Below are 21,373 nucleotides of genomic sequence, written 5' to 3' on the forward strand. Positions count from 1 at the left end.
TCACACAGCATCACAAAAGAAATGGCACCTACGTTCCACTGGTGTATGCTACAAACCAAATCATTCTTTAAAAGTCCACAAAAAATTAGGTAGGATCATCTTATTTTATCCTGAAGGAAAGAACTTAAAAAAAAACAAATGTGTGTCCAGATTTCACACCTACTCAATGTCATATCAAAACTAGTGAATCGATGTGAATAACTGGATGTGTGTGTTTCTGTAATACAAAAGCACTTCTACACACTGACTCAGAAATCCTACTTCTTCCCAGAAGCCTCCTTACATACTTGATCAGAAATCTGGACAAAGATTTACTGTGAAATATGTTCAATGTAGTAAGAATTTTGAAGAACATTTAAAACTTCCGCTGTTTCAAGCAAGGGCTCCCTGACTTCTGTTAGGAGCACACGATGGAGACTGTGCAGCCTTATTCAGTCCTCAGTGAACCCTGTGACACCCACTCTATGCCTGTGGAGATCCAGGCTCTGGGGACACAGCAAGGACAGGACAGGGAGTAAGAAGCAGATGTCCTGCAGACTGGCACGGTCACCACCTCAGTGCAGCTGCTCCGTCCCCTGCAGTCCCCTGTCTCCCAAAGGCTCCATGTCCCCTTGGGCCAGGAAAGAGGAGGCACTGCCATGTCCCACTGTCTACAAAGTCCTGTGCAGGCTGCACGCCAGGCAGGGCACAGTCCCTCCTCAACTCACCAGCAGACGCTGTGGCTCCTCTGGCAACTCTACAGTCACACCTGTTAGCTCTGCCAGCTCCTGACCTTGGATTTCCTGCTCAGAGACCTGGGTGGGCTGCAAGTATCTGTTACTCAGGGTCTCGTTGCGGGCATTGTCCTCCGCCCCAGGAACTCGTGAAGGACATGAACGCCGCCGGAAAAGGACCTTGGGAAGACAAAGAGCCCACTCAAGTCCACACCCCGGGCTCAGCTTCAGGGTCCCCAGTACACAGCTGGACCTGCCATCCCCAACCCCTTCCAATGAGGTCACCCCAGGCAGCTGAGGCTCAGCACATCCAGGACCCCATGCTGAGGTGGGTCAGGTGGTCACCCCATCCCCATGGGGCCAGCTGTGGAGTGATGGTGTCACCGAGGCTGCAGGAAGGACAGGGCTGCAGCACGGCCTGCTGGTCTGTGTGCTGCTCAAAATGGCCGTGTGTCCCCCACAGTCAGCCCAGATCCCCCAGGCCATGTCAGAGAGTCAGGGCAGCCATGAGGACAAGGGATTGTGCCCACCCAGGCTCGGCAGTGGATGGGAAGCAGTTCCTGAACCCACGAAGCCCCCAGTTTCTGGAGAAACCAACTCACTCTGTGCACACGTTCGGGACCTCCTCCACCACCTGGAAAAGAAGCAGTCTCCTGAGCAGGCGGGGAGGGGCCCATGCAGCACCTCCCTCCCAGAGGACAGTGGGGCGCAGGGCTGGCTGGGGGCTGGGACACTGGACAAGGAGCCCTGGGGCTGGGGACAGAATGGGGCCTTGCAATTAGGGGACACCCTGAGGAAGGGGGATGAGAAGGGGAACTAGAGTAAAAACCAACACGTGGAAAATCTCTGTGTTCTGCTCTGACCAAGGCTGAATAAATCCCACGACCACTTCTCATCCTGACCCTTGTCACCCAGTTGAGGAGCTGACTGCCCCCTGCCTGGCTGGGCCTGAAGATAGGAGGAACTGGCCCTGCCCTCCTGGAGTTGGCTCCGGGAGATGAGGGGTCCCCCAGCCCTGAGAGAGGGACTGATGAGACCAGGGTCCTTGGGGATACACAGGACGTGGGGATGGGGCGATCACAAGAAGGAAGACCAAGCCAGGCTGGAGACGCTTGGACCAGGGGCAGGGATGGGGATTACTGTCTGTGGGAACGGAGTGGGAGAGGGCAGGGCAGACAGTGCCCAGCGCTCCCACCCTCAGCCAGCACCTACCTGAGCAGATGCCTTTGAGGTAAGAAATGAATTTCTTCCGACATGAAAAGCCAACCACAACCACAGCTAAAATGATGACTAAAACCACTATGATGATAAGGTAGTGATAGGGAGAGGCAAGCATCCCCAGGATGGTGGTCACTGTCTCCTCCGCTGCTGGGGTTTTCCCAGTGGAACTGGCAGCTGATTCATTTTTGCACTTGATGTCACTCCGGGGCGTACAATTACTGACCTTGACCATCCCTCTGGGACACCTGGGTACACACAGAGAGGGAGACAGGGACTCTTGATGGAAAGCTGGCCAGGTGGGATGAAAGAGGAGCCACCCTCCCTGCCCAAAGTCCCTGAGAAGGCGTCAGGAGGACAGGCTCCTCGTGTCAGCAGTGGGTCCCCCTGTGCTCCCTTCTTGAGGCTGGGGAAGGGTCTGAGCATGCACACTTCAGCCCCTCGGCCTCCCTGCTCTGGGGTCAGAGCTGTAGATCCAGGAGCCTTCTGTGCTGGGCACACACTGAGCTTCCCTGGGCTGCAGGGGAGGCCTGCGTTAGGAGGAGCCGCACTCCAGGGGAAGATCACAAGCCCCTGTGGCCACAAGCTGAGCCCCTTCCTCCAGTTAACACACAGTACAAGTGAGTCCTCGCCCCACCCTGTCTGCCGCTGGTTCCTCCCAACCACAGCAAACACTGGAGGGCCAGAGAAGAGCAAGTTACTCTTTGCCCCTAAAACCCAAATAGGATAAAGAAGGACTTAGTGAGAAATCGGGGGCCAGGGGTGAGGCCGGCTGGGTGGGCTCAGGTCCTCATGGGAACTTAAGGGAGCTCCACCCATGGCCTTATTATGACTTTTGTGGGCTACGGACACTTTTGTCTTTATGGGTCCCTGCCCACATAAAAAATATTAAAAATTACATTTTTTAAACCAACTTAGAGTAAGGAAAAATACAAGCCAGGCTGGATTCAAGTGTTTTCTTCTGATTTCAAAAGGAAATTACATTTCCTAGGTTGCCTGAAAAGGTTCAAGGGACCTAGAAAGTCACCTCCTGTGCCCAGTGAACAATTCAGCCTGGACAAAGGGACTCCTGCTGGGGAGGGTATGGGAAGGGGCTGCTGCAGGGGGTAGGGGTGGGGACAGGCAGATGGACCAGGAGGGGCCAACGCAGGCTCAGGAAACCCCACAGGCTCAGGGAGGCCTCGGGCCTGGAGGATCCATGGGGTCAGCGGAGAGATAGAGGTACCAGGTGAATCAGGTCTTTTCAGGTTCCTGAAAGCTGTTGGGAGCCCCTGGCTGCTGTCTTACCCTGTTCTACACGTCCGGCACATCTCAGGGGAGTTTTTATCCTGGAAGCTTCCTTTTTCACACTGACACACGGTGTCTCTGGTCGTGGTACAGGAACTTTTATTTGTTTGACCTGACAACAGAGCATAAGGTTTTGAGAATGTGTTTCCCTGACATGTCTGTCCACCCTTCCTCACCACCCCATCCCCTCCCACTCAGCTCAACTCAGTTCACCAAGGAGTTCTGAGGGCTGGTTTCTGCACCAGCACACTCGGGACTCATACAGGACACCCACCCTGTATGTAAGGACCAATACAAAAGGACCGTGATTCATTATTTATTATATCAGGTTAGGGGAAAAGCATTGTTTAGATGGCATGGTCAGTAGCAAGGGAGGCGCAAGGGCATCACCTGAGAGACTCTGCAAGGAGAGGGGCCCTTGGGGGACTTCCCAAAAGCCCCGGCCTTGCTGGGGAAGAGGAAGGGGCCTGAGAACCTGAAGGCTAAGTGAGGCCAAGCACCTTTCAGGAGCACAGAGCCCGGGAGGAGAGAGCCTGGCCACGGAGCAGACCTGTGCCACTGCTGGAACCCAGCCCTGTCCACTGGGCCAGGCCTCCTCTATGCTGTAATGATGCCCCCACCCGGCTGCAGGCAATAGTTTAGAAGATTTCCCAGCCTGGTGGCATGCATTACAGAAAAGATTTTGGCCAGGCGCAGTGGCTCACACCTGTAATCACAGCACTCTGGGAGGCTGAGGCAAGCGGATCACCTGAGGTCGGGAGTTCGAGACCAGCCTGGCCAACATGGAGAAACCCTGTCTCTACTAAAAACACAAAAAACTGGCTGGGCACGGTGGCTCATGCCTGTAAGCCCAGTACTTTGGGAGGCCGAGGTGGGTGGATCACGAGGTCAGGAGATCGAGACCATCCTGGCTAACACGGTGAAACCCCGTCTCTACTAAAAATACAAAAAAAAATTAGCCGGGTGTGGTGGCGGGCACCTGTAGTCATAGCTACTCAGGAGGCTGAGGCAGGAGAATGGCGTGAACTCAGGAGGCGGAGCTTGCAGTGAGCCGAGATCGCGCCACTGCACTCCAGCCTGGACAACAGAACGAGACTCCGTCTCCCAAAAAAAAAAAAAAAAAAAAAAAATTAGCTGGGTGTGGTGGTGCATGCCTGTGATCCCAGCTACTTAGGAGGCTGAGGTAGAAGAATCACTAAACCTGGGAGGCAGAGGTTGCAGTGAGCCAAGATCATGCCATTGCCCTCAAGCCTCAGCAACAAGAGTGAAACTGTCTTCAAAAAAATAAATAAATAAAAGAAAAGAAAAAAAAGATTTCTATTTTTTTTTTTTAATCAACTAGTCATAATCATGGAACAGGGCATGATGAAGACTACCAAGTTGGGCTAGAACTTGGTTCCCCGACTCACATCGGCTACAGCTCCCACCTCATCACTATGCACTCCACCTCTGGGCAAGGGGTCCACACATTCTGTACCTGATTTACAAACTGTACATAGCAGGCAAGAAGGCAAATTGTTGGAAGCAATGGTGTAATCCACACCCTCTGTGCACGGGTTACAGGCTCCAGTATATTCTGATCTATGAGATCCTGGGAAGGGAGAGAAAAGTTAATGAATGAGTCACCACAGAATTCCCAGAGGCTGACAATGGCTGGCAAATTTCTCTTTTGGCCCTCAGTGGAATCCAGACAGAGAAATCTGCTCTTCTTGGCTTGGTCTTGTCATCAATTCTGCATCTATTACACTATTACATACCTTTGACTGGCACTGCTGACAGAAATATAATACAAATCACATGCAAAATTCAAATTCTATGAAAGCCACATTAAAATAGTACAAAGAATGAGGTCAAATTAATTTTAACTATTTTTTAGCCTAAAAATATCCAAAACACTACATTTCAATATGTAATCAATATAAATATTTGAAATATTTTATCTTTTTTTGGCCAGGCACGGTGGCTCACGCCTGTAATCCCAGTACTTAGGGAGGCCAAGGCGGACGAATCACGAGGTCAGGAGATCGAGACCATCCTGGCTAACACAGTGAAACCCCATCTCTACTAAAAATACAAAAAATTAGCCGGGCGTGGTGGCAGGCACCTGTAATCCTAGCTACTCGGGAGGCTGAGGCAGGAGAATGGCGTGAACCCGGGAGGCAGAGCTTGCAGTGAGCTGAGACTGTGCCACTGAACTCCAGCCTGGGCGACAGAGCAAGACTCTGTCTCAAAAAAAAAAAAAAAAAAGAAAAGAAAAGAAAAGAAATATTTTATCTTTTTTAAAATTTTTTTTGGAGACAGAGTTTCACTCTTGTCACCCAGGCTGGAGGGCAATGGCGCGACCTTGGCTCACTGCAACCTCCACCTCCCAGGTTCAAGCGATTCTCCTGCCTCAGCCTCCTGAGTAGCTGGGATTACAGGCACCCACCACCACGCCCAGCTAATTTTTTGTATTCTTAGTTGACACGGTGTATCATCATATTGGCCAGGCTGGTCTCCAACTCCTGACCTCAGGTGATCCACCCTCCTCGGCTTCCCAAAGTGCTGGGATTACAGGCGTGAGCCACCATGCCACGCCCAGTCTACTTTTTTTTTTTTTTAACAATAAAATAAAATAACAAAATAAAATCCAACCTCATCTACATGTGATCTGCCCATGCTGGTCCACCTGACCTGTTTGCTGTCCACTCACTATGGTGGCCCCGTCTCTGCTCGGTATCCCCCAGCGCCTGCACCCTGGGACTGTCATTCCTAGGGAGGCTGCTCAGGAGCACCATTTCTGGCTCTCTGCACAACTATCCCTGTCCAGCTTTGGAGACTGGCCAAAATCACCATCCCCGAGAGGCCCCACCAACCTCGTCTCTGTCTCACTCATCACTTAATTTCTTCATGGTTCCTATCAGGAATTTCTGACTGTTATTTTGATCTGTGTGTCTTAATACTATCCCAGAGAAAAGGTTCCACGAGGGCAGGGCCTCTTATAATTATCCCATTAGCACGGTGCCTGACTGACAGAAATCATCCAACATGTCCCTATGGAATAAAGAACCAGAAAGTGCAGGAAACAGAAGTCTGGAAACACATAGAGATAAGGGCATGATAAAGGCATGATAAGCTAAGATATCAGTCTTAGCTTGTGCCTTCGGGCTAGCACTACAGACCCAGGATCCTGACCCACCTCCATAGATTCAGCTTCCAGATCTGTCCTAGTGCCAGGTCAGTCCCCATGAACTCAGGCTCCAGGCCCTTCCCTGTGGACCCAAGGATGAGACCCATCACAGCACCTGGCTGACATCTGCAGACCCAAGTACAAGGCCTATTCCAGTGCCAGTTCAGCCCTCATGGAGCCAGGCCTCAGGTCACCTCTCTGGATACTGGCTCTGACCACCCTTGAACCACACCACATGGCCTGCCCAGAATCTGTGAACAGGCTGACTGGTGAAGGGCGTTCCCTGACAAAGCCAGTCTGTAAATACTGGATTAAGTCCCTGCTTCTTCAAAGTGCACATTCCAACATATTGCCACAGGCTCCTGAGCAATCAGGGAACAGTGACGGCACCAAAGAAACAAAATGAAGCACAAGTAACCAACCCGAAAGGAATAGACATTTACAACAGCCTGACAAAGACTTGAAAACAGTCATCTTACAGAAGCTCAGTCAGCTACTAGAGAATATGGATAGACAACTAAGTCATGTCAGGAAAACAATACATGAACAAAATGAGTAGTTTAATATACACAGACAACATAATAAAGAAGAAAGCAGAAATTCTAAAATTAACAACAACACAATATCTGAACTAAGAAAATTCCACAGAGAATGTCAACAGCAGAGTTGATTAATCGGAAGAAAGAATCAGTGAGCTTGAAAACAGATCATTTGAAATTACCAAGTCACAGGAAGAAAAAAAAAATAAAGAATGAAAAAGAGGGAAGAAAGCCAACAGTACCAACGGTTACTGTGAAGCAAAACAATATATGCATTATGGTGGTCCAAGGAGCATCAGAGAAAGTGAAAGGAACAGAAAGTGTAATTAAAGAAATAATTAAAGAAAATGTCCCAAAACAGGATGGGAATGGACATCCACATTCATGAAGCCCAAAAAACCCCTAACAGATAAATATGAAGAGATCTTCACCAAGACACATCTTAAACAAATTCCCAAACATCAAAGGCAAAGAGAATTTTGAAACCAGCAAGAGACAAGCAATGTACAAAGGAACCCCTATAAAACTACCAAAGGCTTCTCAGCAGAAAACCTACAGGCCAGGAGAGAGTGGAATCATACAAAGTACAGAAAGGAAAAATTCCTTGCCAACCAAGAATACTACACCTGGCAAGCCTGTCCTTTAGAAATGCAGAGCAGTAAAGACTTTATCAGACAAAGAAAAAAAAAAACGGGGGGAGTTCATCTTTAGCATGTATTGCCTTACAAGAAATGTTAAAGAGAGTTATTCAATCTGAAAGAACAGAACACTAACTGGATACACAAAACCATGCGAAAATATAAAACTAGGTGGTTAAATACATGGTCAAGTTCAGAATATTCTAATACAATCATAATAGTGTACAAATTACTTACATCATTACTATAAAAGTTAAAAGCCCAATGTATTTTTTTAAATGATACTTAATACAATTTGTTAAGGAATACACAACATAAAAAGACGTAAATAATGACAAAACATAAAATAAGGCAGGAGAAGAAAAGGTGTCAAGTTTTTTATGAGATCAAAGATAAATTGTTATCAGTGTAAAATAAAGTTAGACATGAACCTAACTTACAAATTCAGTAGTGTTTTTATACACTGACAAGAAACTATCTGAAAAATCCCATTTATAATAGCTACAAAAAAAATGCTTAGGAATAAATTTAACCAAGGTGGTGGCTGTATTTTTTTCTAATTTGGTCTTGAGGTTTCTCTCTGTAGAGTGGCTATAAATTCTAGCCTTGCCCTGGGGGGGATCCAGGAGATTTCATCATGGATGTTCACAGGAAACTTATTTGTCCCGGTGGACTGTCTAATGCCTAATTGGGTGTTCATCTTGTACATGTCCCTTCCACAAGACAATTACTTTTACTAGCAGTAGACCTGGTGGCTCTTGTCTGACCTATGTCCAGTTTTAAGTTATCTCTACTCTTTAGGAGACAGCCACTCTTTAAGAGAGCCAAGATGGAGAAGGATGTTAGGTTCAGATGTGTCAATTAGGGAAAACACAGAGGAAGCAACACAACAAAACACAGGAAACACAGAAGTGGTGTATTACTTACAGACTCCAGAGAGAAGAGGATAGCACACTTTGCAGCACTTACGGGAAGTGGGGAGCTATCCAGTCCGAGGACACTAACCGGTGTGTGGGGAGCAAGAGACAGAGAGAGAGGACCCGTGGGACTACACCTTTATAAAGATCCATGGGCATTATACCCCAGGCTTTCCCACAGGGATTGTGGAAGACAACACCTGCAAAGAAGGTTCACACTGCTCTGCTGTGAACCATTAGGTTTTATTGTAGTCAGCTCCTGTGGGATGTGTTGGGTTTGGGGTCAGGGAGATGATGAACAAATGTGCTAGATCAAAAACAATTGAACAGGGAAAGGAATTATTAATTGGGCAAAAGATGCTGTGGTATGATTGGGTTTTAAACAACTTACATTGGGCCTAAAAATGGATGTCAAGGCAGCAACTCTTTTAAATAAATTTGTGACAGAGGTGGAAGATGTGAAAACTGTAAAATATTGATGAAAGAAACGGAAAGTAACAAAAATAAATGGAAAGACAGTACATGTTCATGGATTAGAAAACTCAATATTGCTTAATTGTTCATATGACCCAAAGTGATCTACAGATTCAATGCAATGCCTATTAAAATTCCAATGACATTTTTTACCAAAATAGACAAAATAAATCTAAAATGTGTATGGAACCACAAAAGACCTCAAATAGCCAAAGTGATCTTAAGCAAAACAAACAAAAAGAACAATGATGGAGGCATCATACTACCTGATTCTTAAATATATTACAAAGGTATAGTAATCAAAACTGAATAGTAATGGCATAAACGAAGATAAACTGATGGAATGAAATAGTGAACCCAGATATAAATCAATGCATTTACAGTCAACTGATTGTGACAGATACCAAGAACACAAAATGGGGAAAGGACAGCCTCTTCAATAAATGATGTAGAGGAAAGTAGATATTGACCTGCAGAAGAATGAAATAAGACCCTTATCTCACATCATATGTAAAAATCAACTCAACATGGACTAAAGATTAAACATAAGCCCTGAAATTGTAAAACTACTACAAGAAAACATAGGGGAAAATCTTCATGACGTTGGTGTGGGCATTGATTTCTTGGCTATGACCCCAAAAGCACAGGCAACAAAAGCAAAAATAGACAGATGAGATTATATCAGACTAGAAAGGTTTTGCACAACAAAGGAAACAATGAACAGAGTGACGAGACAACATACAGGATGAGAGATCAATATCCAAAAGATCCAAGATTTTGGTTAACATCCAAAATACACAGGAACTCAAACATCTCAATAGTATGCAATCAAATAATCCAATTAAAACGGACGCATGGGCAAGGGACCTGAAGAGACACTTCTAAAAAGAAGACATAGAAGTGGCCGACAGGTATATGAAAAAAATGCTCAACATCACTAATCAGGGAAATGCAAATCAAAACCACAATGAAATACCACTTCACACCTGTAAAAATGGCTATTACCAAAAAGACAAAAGATAACAAGTGTTGATGATGATGGGGAGAAAAAGGAACACTGGTACACTGTTGGTGGGAATGGAGATTAGTACATCCATTATGGAAAACAGTATGGAGGTTCCTCAAAAAACAAAACATAGAATAACTATATGATCCAGCAATCCCAGTATTGTGTATACATCCAAAGGAAATGACATCAGTATGTTAAAGAGGTATCTTCCCTCCCATGTGCATTGGAGCATTATTTACAATGGTCAAGACATTAATCAACCTAAGTGTCCATCGATGATGAAAAGGTAAAGAAAATGTAGTACATAGACACAATGGAATACTATTCAGCCTCAACAAAGAAGGAAATTCTGTCATTTGTGACAGCATGGATGAACCTGGAGATATCATGCTAAGTGAAATAAGCCAGGCACAGAGAGACAAACACCTCATGATCTCACATATGTGGAATCTTAAAACTTGATCTCATAGAGGTAGAGAGTAGAATGGTGATTACCAGCGCTGTATTTGCACGGTGGGTTGGAGAGATGCTGGTCAAAGGATACAAAATTTCAGTTAGACAGGGGGAAATAAATTCAAGAGATGTATTGTGTGACATGGTGACTACAGTTATTAAAACAATGTGTTGTACAGTCCTGCCTTCTATTCACAGGGAATATATTCCATGGAACAAACTCTGCACTTACACAAGTCCCTGATACAAATTGGGATAGTATTGCATACACCCCAGGTACATATGCTTTAAATCATTTCTAGGTTACTTGTAATACCTAATGCAATAGACATGCTATGTAAATAAGTGCTTTACTGCATTGCTTTTTATCTACTTTTATTGACATGTTATCATTTTCATTATTTTTTCCACATATTTTTGATCTGTGTTGGTTGCAACCACGGATGCAACACCCACAGATGAGGATGGCTACAGAACCCACAGGTGAGGAGGGCAAAGAGGGCTTATCCCAGGGCTCTGTATCCATACAGCTGAAAATTGCTGAGTAGACTTTTAAGTGTTCTTACAACAAATACACGATAAGTATGTGAATTAGCTTGATTTAGCCATTTCACAATGCGTGCATATTTCCAAACATCATGGTGTACACCATGAATATATACAATGTTTATCTGTCAACTAAAAATAAACTGATTTTTAAAAATAAGAGTGCACCTGCTGGACACTCCTCCTCCTTGAGGCTGCGCCTCTGTTGCTGTGGGGCCACTGTCTGCTGGGGAACTTCGTCCTGCCGGGGGATGGTGGCAGAGTCAACCCGGACCTGTGGGGACAAGGCAGAGATGGGCTTGAGTGGCTTCCAGACCTTACCTCTCCCAGGCTCCGTCTCACATTCCCTTCACCCCAAGTGACAAAACCCATGAGAGCCTGGACTTTTTTCCCATTCCAAACTTTCATTCTTTTGCATCCGTGTTTGTCCCCTGGCCTGTTAGGTAGCTATTTTCTATAAAGAAAAACACCTCCGTATCCTTTTATCATATTATAACATAAAATATATTTACCCCAGAAAATATGAGCAGAAGAGTTTTTTTTTTTTTTTGATAGAGTCTTGCTATGTTGCCCAGGCTAGAATGCAGTGTCTATTCACAGGTGTGATCATAGTCTACTACAGCCTGGAACTTCTGGCCTCAAGTGATCCTCCCGCCTCAGTCTCCCAAGCAAGTTGGGTAACAGGAACACACCACTGTAGTTGGCAAGAAAAGATTTTATAAGAACACAAAAGGCCAGGCGCGGTGGCTCAGGCCTGTAATCACAGCACTTTGGGAGGCCAAAGTGGGTGGATCATGAGGTCAGGAGATTGAGACCATCCTGGTTAACACAGTGAAACCCCGTCTCTACTAAAAATACAAAAAATTAGCTGGGCATGGTGGCGGGCACCTGTAACCCCAGCTACTTGGGAGGCTGAGGCAGGAGAACGGCGTGAACCCAGGAGGCGGAGCTTGCACTGCACTCCAGCCTGGGCGAAAGAGCGAGACTCTGTCTCAAAAAAAAAAACAAAAAACAAAAAACAAAAAAACCACACATATGAGCCCTTCAAGCAGAAATAGCATCTAATGTATTTAGTTTGACCAAGTGTTTAATTGACCAGTGGGTGAATATTCTCTCTCTCTCTCTCTCTCTCGCACACACACAGACACACACATAAAAATACACATTTTTACAAATGAGGGTTACAATATAACCTTAAAGAAAGTCAGGATATAGCATCAAACATTAAGTAATTTCTGCTTCACAAAGGACCTTGACAAGCTGTTCCCACTAAATATCAAAGAGTGACAGAAAAAGATAAAACAGCAATTCAGGGATTATGGCCATGATCTCTGTGTTATAAATGACGACGAGAAGACAACTGGAGAATCGGAATAGAGTCTGCATATTAGATAGTGGTAATGTGTTGATGTTAATTTCCTTGTTTGTAGAAAGTACACACTGAAAAATTCAATAATAGCTTTCATCATGCCAACAGCTATTTTTCAAATTTTTTTTGCATAGTTTTTGTAACTTTTAAGTTGGGAGTGTGTAAAAGTACAAAATTAATTTAATTGTAAATTTACATTTAATTAAATTTAATATAATCTTGCTCCTGAGAAAAAACAAAATGGTTACAATAAAAGCTACTTACCTTGGGCTCTGTTCAACTACCTGGCTCTCAGCAAGACAAAATGTAGCTTTCTTCCACATGAAAGCCTGCCTAGTAGTTGGTGACAGTGAAGCTAATGCACATTTCCCAAATCCTCCCTTCTAGAGCTGGGGTCCCTCTAGGTTCAGGCGATGTCTCTGTCACCTTTCTCTGCTCTCACACCCTTACTCCTTTTCAAGAGCAACTATTCATTTTCTCAACTCTTTTTTTTTTTTTTTCTTTTTTGGAGACGGGATCTCCCTCTGTCATCCAGGTTGGAGTGCAGTGGTGTAATCTCTGCTCACTACAATCTCTGCCTCCCGGGCTCAAGTGGTCCTCCAACCTCAGTCCCTAAGTGGCCGGGACCACAGACAGGAGAGTGCCCCAATGCCTGGGCTAATATTGGTGTATTTTATACAGCTGGGGTTTCATCACGTTGCCCAGGCTGGTCTAACTCCTGAGCTCAAGCGTTCTGCCTGCCTGAGCCTCCCAAAGTACTAGGATTACAGGCGTAAGCCACCACACACAGTCCGTTTTGTCAGTTCTTTTTGTGGTTTCTATTCTATTTCCTTGATTTATGTTCCTCCTTGTTACTTTGGTTTAAATTTATGCTTATATTTTATGATTGATTAATGTAGATCTTCAGGCCATAAATTTCACATATTTTTCTTTTTTTGACAGCTTTAACGAGACACAAATCACATAATTAGTAATTATGATTATTCATATAATTCACCCATTTAGTCTACATTTCAGTAGTTTTTTAATATACTCATAGCTATGCAATCATCACTATAATCAATCTTAGAATGTTTTTATCACTCCAGAAAGGAACTGCATACCCTTCAGGAGTAACTCCCCATCTCCCCAATTTTTTTAATAGACACATTGAAAGCTGTATTATTTCACTCCGAGCACTGTTAGCCATTTCCCACCAGTTTTGCTGTTATATTATTATTATTTATTTTGAAACATTTTACCTTCCCTTTTGATTTCTTCTCTGAACCACAGATTTTTTAGAAGTGTATTGTTCAATAACCAAATTTTAGAATTCCCTATGGATACTATTACTGACTTCCAGTCTCGTTTCATTAAGTTTAGAGGTCATATCGCGTGTTTTATATCCCAGAACCCAGTCTATCTTGGTGAAAGTATCATGAGCATAGAAAGGAATCAGTGTTCAGTGGATGTTCCACTCCTGCTCTTTAAATGTCAGTTAAGTCAAGGTGGTTGATAGTGTGCAGATCGCTTGCCACTTTACCGGGGTTTTCATCTGACCGTTCTGTCAATTACAGAGAAACAGCTGATTTAATCTCCTTTTCATTCTCTTTTTGCATCATGTGTTCTGCAGCTGTATTACTAGGCATATACAATTTGTGATTATTATTATACTCCTTGAAGAATTAACCTTTTTAACTACAAGGGTCCCTTTTGAGCTCCCATAATATTCTATGTCCTAAAATTGTTACAGTAGGCAGCTAGTCAGGTATGAGCAGGGTAGGAGAGGGCTCCCCGCTTCTGACACCAGCAGTGTTGGGCGACCATCAGGTGGTTGATAACCGTGTCTCTAAAGTAAGAACTGGTTACAGCCAATGCCAGAAAAAGGCAGTCTCCTAATACATAGAAAACACCTGAAACTGATCAGCAGCTTCCCAATAAGATTTCAGGAGTGGGGAGAAGTAAGGCAAGATCCTGGAAGTAGGCCAACCTATAAAACCCCAACTCAGGCAGTCCGGCTGTGCACTGTTTCTCAAGTCACCTGCTCGGCCATCTTTCAAGTTGTACTTTCCTTCTTTTCTTTCCGTTCCTTCCTTTCCTTCCTGTTCTAAAGCTTTTTTAATAAACTTTCACTCCTGCTCTGAAACTTGCCTCTGTCTCTCCTTCTGCCTTATGCCCCTCAGTCCAATTCTTTCTTCTCAGGAGGCGAAGAGCTGAAGGTGCTGTGGACCCATACGGATTCGCCGCCTTCAACGTAGGGTAACTCGGATCTCGTCCACCGCTAACAAAATCAACTTCATGTGATACTGAGATAGCCACGGCAGTTTTCTTGGCCTTACACTCTGCGTGGGGTATCTTTTTCCATCTATTTGCTTTCCACAGACAGCATCTGTGTCTTCCTTTTAAGGCCCATCTCATATAGACAAGATATAGCTGAGTCTTGTTTTTTCAGCCCTTCCAAACATTTCTACCATTGAACTGTAGTGCTCAGTGGATTTACAGGGAGTGCAATAATTGTTAGTCAAAATAGACCTATACGTTTACCATTTAAACTACGGTTGTCTAGTCTAATTTTTTTACTCCTTTTTCCCCTGCACATTTTAATGTTAATTACCTTTTAGAATTCCACTTTAACTGGGTACTGACTTTTTATGCATACCTATTTCCATGATCTATGTGCAAGTGCTATAGGGAATACAGTATACACTCAAGTGCTTATATTCTATTGAAGGTTTTTTTAAAATAGATTTATTGTGGTATAATGGATATGAAACAAAGTGTACATTTTTGAAGCATGTAGTTTGGTAGGTTGAGATGTACGTATACACTGTGGAACTATCGCCGCGATAAGATAATGACATGTCTACCGTCCTGCAGTGTTTCTTCATTTTTCAATGTAATCCTCTCTTCTGCTTTGCTCCTATGTCCCCAGCAATGCTTCTTCTGCTTTTTATCACAATAGATTAGTTGTATTTTAATAAGATGAGGAATCACATGGTATGCATTCTGCTTGTATTCCTTCACACGACATGATTTTCTGTGTGTGTGTGTGTGTCTGTGTCTGTGGTTTTTGGTTTTATTTTGGTTTTTGGTTTTGAGACAGCATTTTGCTATGTTTCCCAGGCCGGTCTTGAACTCCTGGGCTCTAAGGATGCACCCACCTGGGCAGGACTATACATGTGAGCCATCGCACCTGCCCACCCACCCTGGCCCATTGACTATTATCAGTTAAAGGCTACTGAAAAACAGCAGGCGCAATAAGATGCTTTGACCTCTTTTGTGTTTCCTAAAAGCAGGAGATGAAAGTCCCCAGGGAAACATAGGACGATCTCCTTATTTTTAAGGATGAGAAGTCGAGGCCAAGAGATTACTGTGCAGACCTTGTTAGAACAGAACCACTCAGCTTTTTAGCCTCCATATATTTACTAGCTTCTTCACAAGTTACTTGGTCCAATTCAATATATAAGTAACTGACTCTCACTGCTTCTCTGTGCTAGGTAAAACTTGCATTAAATAAATGTGTGTGTTGGCTGGGCATGGTGGCACACACCTGTAATCCCAGCATTTTGGAAGGCTGAGATGGGCGGATCACCTGAGCTCGACTTCGAGACCAGCCTGGACAACATGACAAAACCCCGTCTCTACTAAAAATACAAAAATTAGCCAGGCGCAAGGGTGGGCACCTGTAATCCCAAGGTACTCAGGAGGCTGAAGCAGGAGAATCGCTTGAATCTGGGAGGCGGAGGTTGCAGTGAGCCGAGATTGCACCACTGCACTCCAGCCTGGGTGACAGAACAATACTCCATCTCAAGAAAAAAGAAGTCGTACGTGCTTTTCTCCTGTGTACCTGTCTTATGTCAATTTAATTCTCAGGTCCAGCCAAAAAAAAAAAGCCCTTCAAGGGGAGCTTCGCTTCCCTCTATGACTCTCAATGGTGACTCTAACCAAACACCATCCTCCACGCCAACAATACCACATCCTATAGCCTTGCACCAACACGGCCTCTCTGGAGGAGGGGGAGGCAATGGTGGTGAGATATCAGGCCTCCCTCATGCTACCTCCTATTAGTTATATGATTCCTGGTGTCACCTCACCCACCACACTGTGGGCTCCAGGAAGCAGGATTCACATGGGGTTCATCTGTCCTCCCTGGCTCCAGCAGACTCCAAAGACAATAAAGAGCTCATTGTCTATTTCCTGGGTGACTCACTTTCCCCCCAAGCCCATGAGGTGAGCGCAGTGGCGGCCTCAGCTTACCACCTAAGGACAGGCTCCAGGCTGTGGCACAGGGAGGGGACTCCGAAGAGCCCTGTGGACTCTGCTGAGGACCCATAGGAGCTCCCAGAGGCCAAGTGCAGGACAGAGATCAGAGAAGCAGCTCCTCAGAGAACTCTAGCCCTTCAGAGGCCCAAATATGGCTGCTATTATTCAGAAGGTGAGGACAAAAATGCTGGAGACATTGCTCCTGAATCTCATTTTGCCACCTGTAAAACAGGGAAAACAACCTGCCCTCATGTCCCCTGGTTGTTAGGAAAATCCACTACACGAAGATGTACACTCTCTGGCTGGGAGCAGGATACCAGCTGCCCAACAGCACAGGCTCGGGGCATGGCACTGTCCCCACTGTCTCCATCCCCAACCTGGAAGCTAGAGCCTCGCTACCCTGCCACTCCTGGATACAGGACAGAGAACCAGAACTGGGACCGTGGCCTCTCAGTAGGGGCTGGGTGAGCAGCCATCTGCAGCCACCTGGATGGAGACCTTTCCTGCTCATCTTCAAACTCCAACCCGGGCCGGACACCCACCAGAAGCACAACTGGAAACTTGGCAGGTAAACCAGGCTGTGGCCCTGCAGTGCCATCGCTGTCCTCACTTGAACTCTGGCTCCTCTGTTCCTCGATGGCCCCTCCACATGGTGCTCCACCCCAGTCTTCAGAAGCTTCTGCCCCAAGGCCAGGGAGCCTGGTATGGAGGTGCAAGTAGGAACAGGTGCAGCCTCTGCTGGGTGGAGGACATGTGCCCTGGGGATCCAGTCCGGAGTGACTGACACCAGCCCTGAGGATGTGGTTCATCCTCCCACACCTGCTAACACAGCCCTCTGAGGTTTACACAGGGCTGCTGAAGATTTTTATCTCCTCTTCACTTTACAGGCAGGAGCTGGGGCCACACCAGTGTCACAGAGCTGGAGGGGAAGCACAGCAGGGCCCAGCTGTTCCCAGCCTCCAATCTCAGGAGTCCTTGAGAGCCTCAGAGTCCGAGATTCTGGGCCGTTGGATCTTTTCGATTCCTACTTTGATAAAGAGAAGGGCGGGGCGGAAGCCTCTGTCACACAGATTGGAACAGTCCAACGCTGACAGAGCCAGGACCTGGGGTCAGGAACTGAGCTCAGCTCCAGGCTCATCTGATGTCCTCCTGACAGCCTGAAGATGGAGACCTTATCTCCATTTACAGGCGTGGCAGGTGGCAGGGACTGGCCCCAGCTGACCACGGTTCTCCAAGTTCACAGCTGGGAATTCAGTCTTCCCTGCCACCCTCCCCTGCTGTCTCATCTGGATCCCCCGGTCATCTACTCCCACTACCAAAACTCCCGTATCCTTGAAAATTCCTAATACCATTAAGGAATGAAAGTACATAACAATGTGATGAATCACCTTTTACTTCCTAGACTAGCAACGAATGAAAGCTAAGTGTAACAAGGGTGTAGGGATACAGGCACATGTGTGAACTAGGTGTGAGTGTAAGCTGAGTTCAATGGTCTTTTGGAAGAAAATTCGTAAACATCTAAAGAAACTTCTGAAATGATTTATCCCACGGAAGTAGAAGTAAAATTCTACTTCTAAGGAGTTGCCCAATAAGCTGGTGCGCATGGACATGTGGACACACGATACATACAAGGGTATTTAGTACAATGCTGTTGGAATTAGCAAAGGCAAATTTGCTTTGGGTTATATCCCATCGGGATGGGATATAACCAGCTGCCTCTAGATGGCAACAGTGAATTAACCTGTGGCTTACCCATGTAGTAAAATACAATACCCTTGTTTAAAAGAAAATCAATCTGAATGTACTGCCATAAAACATCTAATGTGATTTGTGCTAGCTCCAAAATTTTAAAAAGCAACTGTGCATTGAAATGCATTTAATAAGGCAAGATTGATGGAGGGATCAAAGCCTCCTTTGGGACGCATAGAGTTCACATTCCCAAAACTGTGAAATTCAGGTTGCTGGTCTTGTCTACACAGGTCATCCACACATTCTCTCTTCAGGGCCACTGTCCTGACACAGCCATTCTTCTAGCTGCCTCAGGTAGGTCCACCCACTATAAACTATTGTAGAAGTCAGTTGTGTAATTTTTGAGAGGTGAAAATGTCACTGCTGTTCTGAATTTAGTATTACTTCGTTGAAAGAAAACATGGAGACTCTCATGGTTCATGTAATCTTGTTTTATCCTCCCCGTTTTGTTTTTTGGTATTACGTAAGAAACCTTAGAAAGCACTGTTGGCAGAAACGTCAGTCACTCAGAAAAAGTCCTGGCAGTCTGCACATCTTATTTTTATGTCCTTCTTGTGCACCCCACTACCAATCTCAGTTTCCAAACCCAACTCACAACGAGAACTTTACATCTTTTATGCCTAAGGAAGGGGCCATCCCGCGGTCCTGCCTATGGGATACAGAGGGGACACACGGGTGGCAGTGGAAGACACTGACTGCAAGCACCTTGGTTAACCGCTTCCTGCCACTTTCAGGGTTCTATAGGAAATGAAAGTTACAAAAAACAGCGTTGGAAAGCTTTTTCACAGGCTGTTTGTTAAACTGATCTCCAAGAAACACGTGTAACAGTGTAAACATAGGGTTAATTTTGTTTGTTTGTTTGTCTGTTTTTGTTAAGGCAGAGTCTCGCTCTGTCGCCCAGGCTGGAGTGCAGTGGTGCAATCTCGGCTCACTGCAACCTCTGCCTCCCGGGTTCAAGCAGTTCTCCTGCCTCAGCCTCCTGAGTAGCTGGGACTACAGGCGCAGGCTGCCACGCCTGGCTAACTTTTTTTTTTTTTTTTTTTTTTTTTTTGAGACGGAGTCTCGCTCTTGTTGACCAGGCTGGAGTGCGATGGCGCGATCTCGGCTCACTGCAACCTCCGCCTCCCGGATTCAAGTGATTCTCCTTCTGCCTCAGCCTCCCGAGTAGCTGGGATTACAGGCGACCGCCATCACGTCCGGCTAATTTTTGTATTTTTAGTAGAGACGGGGTTTCACCATGGTGGCTAGGCTGGTCTCCAACTCCTGACCTCAGGTGATCCGCCCGCCTCGGCCTCCCAACGTGCTGGGATTACAGGCGTGAGCCACCGCGACCGGCCTGGGTTAACGTTATGAACGAACGAACGAACGAACGAACGAAAGAGGCAACCGCTCTGTGGCTTCCTGAGGTTCACTCCGGGGTTTCCATCTTGACTCCCTCCCTCCGCTGATTCTGGAACTTCCTCTGGGGCAGCTCAGTGCGGTCCTCGCCGCACGGGACAGCCAGGGGGAGCGCGCGCTCTGCTCCCTCGCGGCCCGGTCGCTCCTGCCCAGCCCGGGCACCCCACTCTTCCCCTGACTCCGACGGCGGGTTCGTCCTGCCCAGACATGCCCGGCCGCAGGCGACCCGGGCCAAGCATCCCCACCGTGTCCCCCTCTCTCCCTGCCCACTCCCGGCGCCAGGTGCGCTCTTCCCCAGCCAGGGACCGCGGCGGAGACTCACCGGCAGCAGAACCGCGACGATGAAGACGACGAACTTAAGGATCTTGGGGTCCAGGAGCCATGGTCTGGTTCCCGACGCTGTCCTGGCTCCTGGATAGCGCCCTGCTCGAGCGCTCGAGGCGGTCGGGACGCTTTGTCCCCAAAGTCCCATGAGAAGGGAGGAGGGTGGATCGAAAGCGCCAAAAATCAATCAGAAATCGTCCCCGTAGTTTGTGCGCGTGCAAAGGTTCTCGCAGCTACACTGCCAGAATAGAACGTGCTCCTCCGCTTTTATACCCCGGAAAAAAGGCGTGGTCAGTTGTACTCCCTTCCCGCAGTCACTTCCAGGCACTCAGGCTGGGTCTCCCCCAGCACCTCCAGGAGGGCCCAGGTTGTGTGGGTGGGTGCATGGACGGACAGGAACTGGCTCTTTCCGGCAGCGGTGACCCAGGGCCTGCGGTTTGATTCCGGGTCCTGTCCAGGCTGTAGGCAGCAGAAGGGGAAGGAGCTGAGGCGCTGCCCGCTGCGCTGCTGTAGTCTGGGTAGTGAGCTCCAGAGGAGGCACTGGAGGCCCATCCTGAGCCTGCTCCCTCCCCGGGCCGCCTGTCTCTCCTCTTCTTAAACCCTGAACTACTTCCTGGCCTCAGGACTTCAGTCCACTCTTAGCTTCTGCTCCCACTCCCTCCTCCCACAGCGGCCTCACTGACCAGTGCACTGATGCCACTGATGTCTCCAGCCTCCTTGCTGCTGTGACCCAGCTCCAAGCTTCTCTGGCAGGGGCTTGGTATCCCTCAGTAGCGGGTGCCTGGCACCAAGGAGGGGCCCAGTGAACACATGAGTGGACAGAATGAAGGACACAGAGGCCATGACAGGCACCTGCAGAGGCTGAGGAGTAGGTAGGAGGGAGAGGAACGCCGGGGGCATCCCTAGCCACAACCTGGCACCCTTTGCATGGTCAAAGCACAAACACTCCCTGACCAACCTTGAGGGCTCTAGTATTGAGGCCCCATGGAGACAGGGGAATCAGGGGAGTGCCTTCCAAAGTCTGTCCCCAAGTCTATTGTCTACCCAGGTCCAACTGTCTGACCTTGGGCTACTTACCTCCCCATCCAGTTGAACACACTGCCGCTGTGAGGGCAGACCCAATGTGTGGTTTTGAAGGGTGCCAGCTTGTGACCCTAAGCAGTAAGGTCAATGGCAGGACTCCTAGACCCTTGGGATGAGTCGGCTCCTGACCCCTCACATGGTAGATAGAAGAGGATAGCGCTATAGAAATGAAGGTTTTTTGGCTCATGAGAAACCTGGGAATGAAATGTCATCCTCTCCACAGGCTTGGATTTGAGCGATGGATC

General features: G+C 46.7%; 1 protein-coding gene across 1 annotated transcript in view, besides 2 other annotated features; it reads right to left on the reverse strand.

Annotated features, from left to right (window-relative positions):
- TNFRSF10D (TNF receptor superfamily member 10d) overlaps positions 1–20,285 on the reverse strand; it is a 28,440-nt gene extending 8,155 nt beyond the window's left edge. Inside the window, exons 1-7 of the mRNA NM_003840.5 lie at positions 20,044–20,285; positions 11,132–11,237; positions 4,696–4,809; positions 3,219–3,330; positions 1,926–2,179; positions 1,316–1,347; positions 708–893 (exon numbers count right to left, since the gene is read on the reverse strand). Of these exons, the coding sequence (NP_003831.2) occupies positions 708–893; positions 1,316–1,347; positions 1,926–2,179; positions 3,219–3,330; positions 4,696–4,809; positions 11,132–11,237; positions 20,044–20,193 (954 nt within the window). The 5' untranslated portion in view covers positions 20,194–20,285. The remainder of the gene's footprint in view (positions 1–707; positions 894–1,315; positions 1,348–1,925; positions 2,180–3,218; positions 3,331–4,695; positions 4,810–11,131; positions 11,238–20,043) is intronic.
- Positions 848–1,575: an enhancer, noted in NCBI's record as "H3K27ac-H3K4me1 hESC enhancer chr8:23002103-23002830 (GRCh37/hg19 assembly coordinates)". NCBI's record gives its function as "activates a minimal SCP1, AML or CMV promoter by ChIP-STARR-seq in primed H9 embryonic stem cells {active_cell/tissue: H9 hESC(primed)}" and the evidence as "EXISTENCE:reporter gene assay evidence [ECO:0000049][PMID:30033119]".
- Positions 20,023–20,142: an enhancer, noted in NCBI's record as "active region_27108". NCBI's record gives its function as "activates an Ori minimal core promoter by ATAC-STARR-seq in GM12878 lymphoblastoid cells {active_cell/tissue: GM12878}" and the evidence as "EXISTENCE:reporter gene assay evidence [ECO:0000049][PMID:35858748]".

This window comes from Homo sapiens, chromosome 8 (genome assembly GCF_000001405.40).
Source record: "Homo sapiens chromosome 8, GRCh38.p14 Primary Assembly".
Lineage (NCBI taxonomy): Eukaryota > Metazoa > Chordata > Mammalia > Primates > Hominidae > Homo > Homo sapiens.